Source organism: Homo sapiens, chromosome 14 (genome assembly GCF_000001405.40).
Source record: "Homo sapiens chromosome 14, GRCh38.p14 Primary Assembly".
Classification (NCBI taxonomy): domain Eukaryota; kingdom Metazoa; phylum Chordata; class Mammalia; order Primates; family Hominidae; genus Homo; species Homo sapiens.
In genome coordinates, this window is record NC_000014.9 from 43,140,911 (window position 1) to 43,142,047 (window position 1,137).

The 1,137-nt window shown below is 44.2% G+C and overlaps 1 annotated feature.

Moving 5' to 3' along the window:
• Nucleotides 270–439: an enhancer, noted in NCBI's record as "experimental_33884 CRE fragment used in MPRA reporter constructs". NCBI's record gives its function as "activates a minimal promoter by MPRAs in K562 erythroleukemia cells, with activity observed for both the introgressed and non-introgressed 14:43610468 variant alleles {active_cell/tissue: K562}" and the evidence as "EXISTENCE:reporter gene assay evidence [ECO:0000049][PMID:34662402]".

Sequence of the window (1,137 nt, forward strand, 5' to 3'; positions counted from 1 at the left end):
TTTCTTTTACTCAAAGCCAACCTCATTCTATAATTTTAGAAATAATCAGAGGTAATCATTACTCTTAGAAACATGGAAAACAAATTTACTTCTCAAATTTAAAGACCAAAATTACTAATCAATTTTAGTCCAAAATAAATATTAATGGGTATTAGTTATAAGCACTAGAAGTTAAGGTAAAAAAATAAAAGATGGTGGCAACCATCGGTATGAAATAGGAAGAATCTAGGCAAATAAGAAGCAGTGGTCTAAAGCATAGATTATAGGTATTGACAAAGCTAAATTAAATTTTGTATAAGTCACCTCATCTTAAATGAGGCGTTTAAAATTTTCAAATATGTTTTGCTTATTGGTATAACAGGGCTTTTTTGTTTAAAGCAATTTGCCTTATTGATTGTGAAATGGAAAAAGTTCCTTTATCCCCCACAGGCCCTGTGATACGGCTGTGGCTTGCTTCTTTGGTGCCTGCTGCTCAAACCTCTAGCGGGAGCATGCAGACAGGCAGGTTATGGGGCTCTGACCCCAGGGAAGTGTTTAGGGTGAATGTTCACAGCTGAAGCCCCAGTGGGCGTAGGTTATAGTGTGCTCTTTCAGTTTAGCCCTCTGTAGGCGGCTTGTATTTATCAGCTCAATTAGACCCTCTGCCTTATTGCAAGGACAGAGGACTTTCTGTATCCTGGATTCTTGCCTTGGTGTACTGGAAGAATTGGATCACACATGGGCTTGGAGAATGAGCGCAAGGTTTTATTGAGTGGACATAGCTCTCAGCAGATGGATGGGGAGCCAGAAGGAAGAGCAAGTGGGAAAGTGGTTTTCTCCTGGAGTCAGGCCTCTCAGCAGCTGGGCTCTCTCCTCCAACCTCACCAGCCAAACTCCAAGTCGTTCTGCCAGTCAATGGCCTGCCAGCGTCTGCCAGTGCCTGTCGGTGTGCTCCTCTGTCGGTGTGTTTCTCTCGACACCTAGCCGCTTGTGTTCTTCCGCCAATGTGTTCCTCTCGTCCAGCTGCTTGTGTCTCTGCCCGCTAGGGTCTCGGGTTTTTATAGGCACAGAATGGGGGCGTAGCAGGCTAGGGTGGTCTTGGGAAATGCAACATTCCATTCGGGCACAAAAACAGAAATGACTGTCGTCACCTGGGTC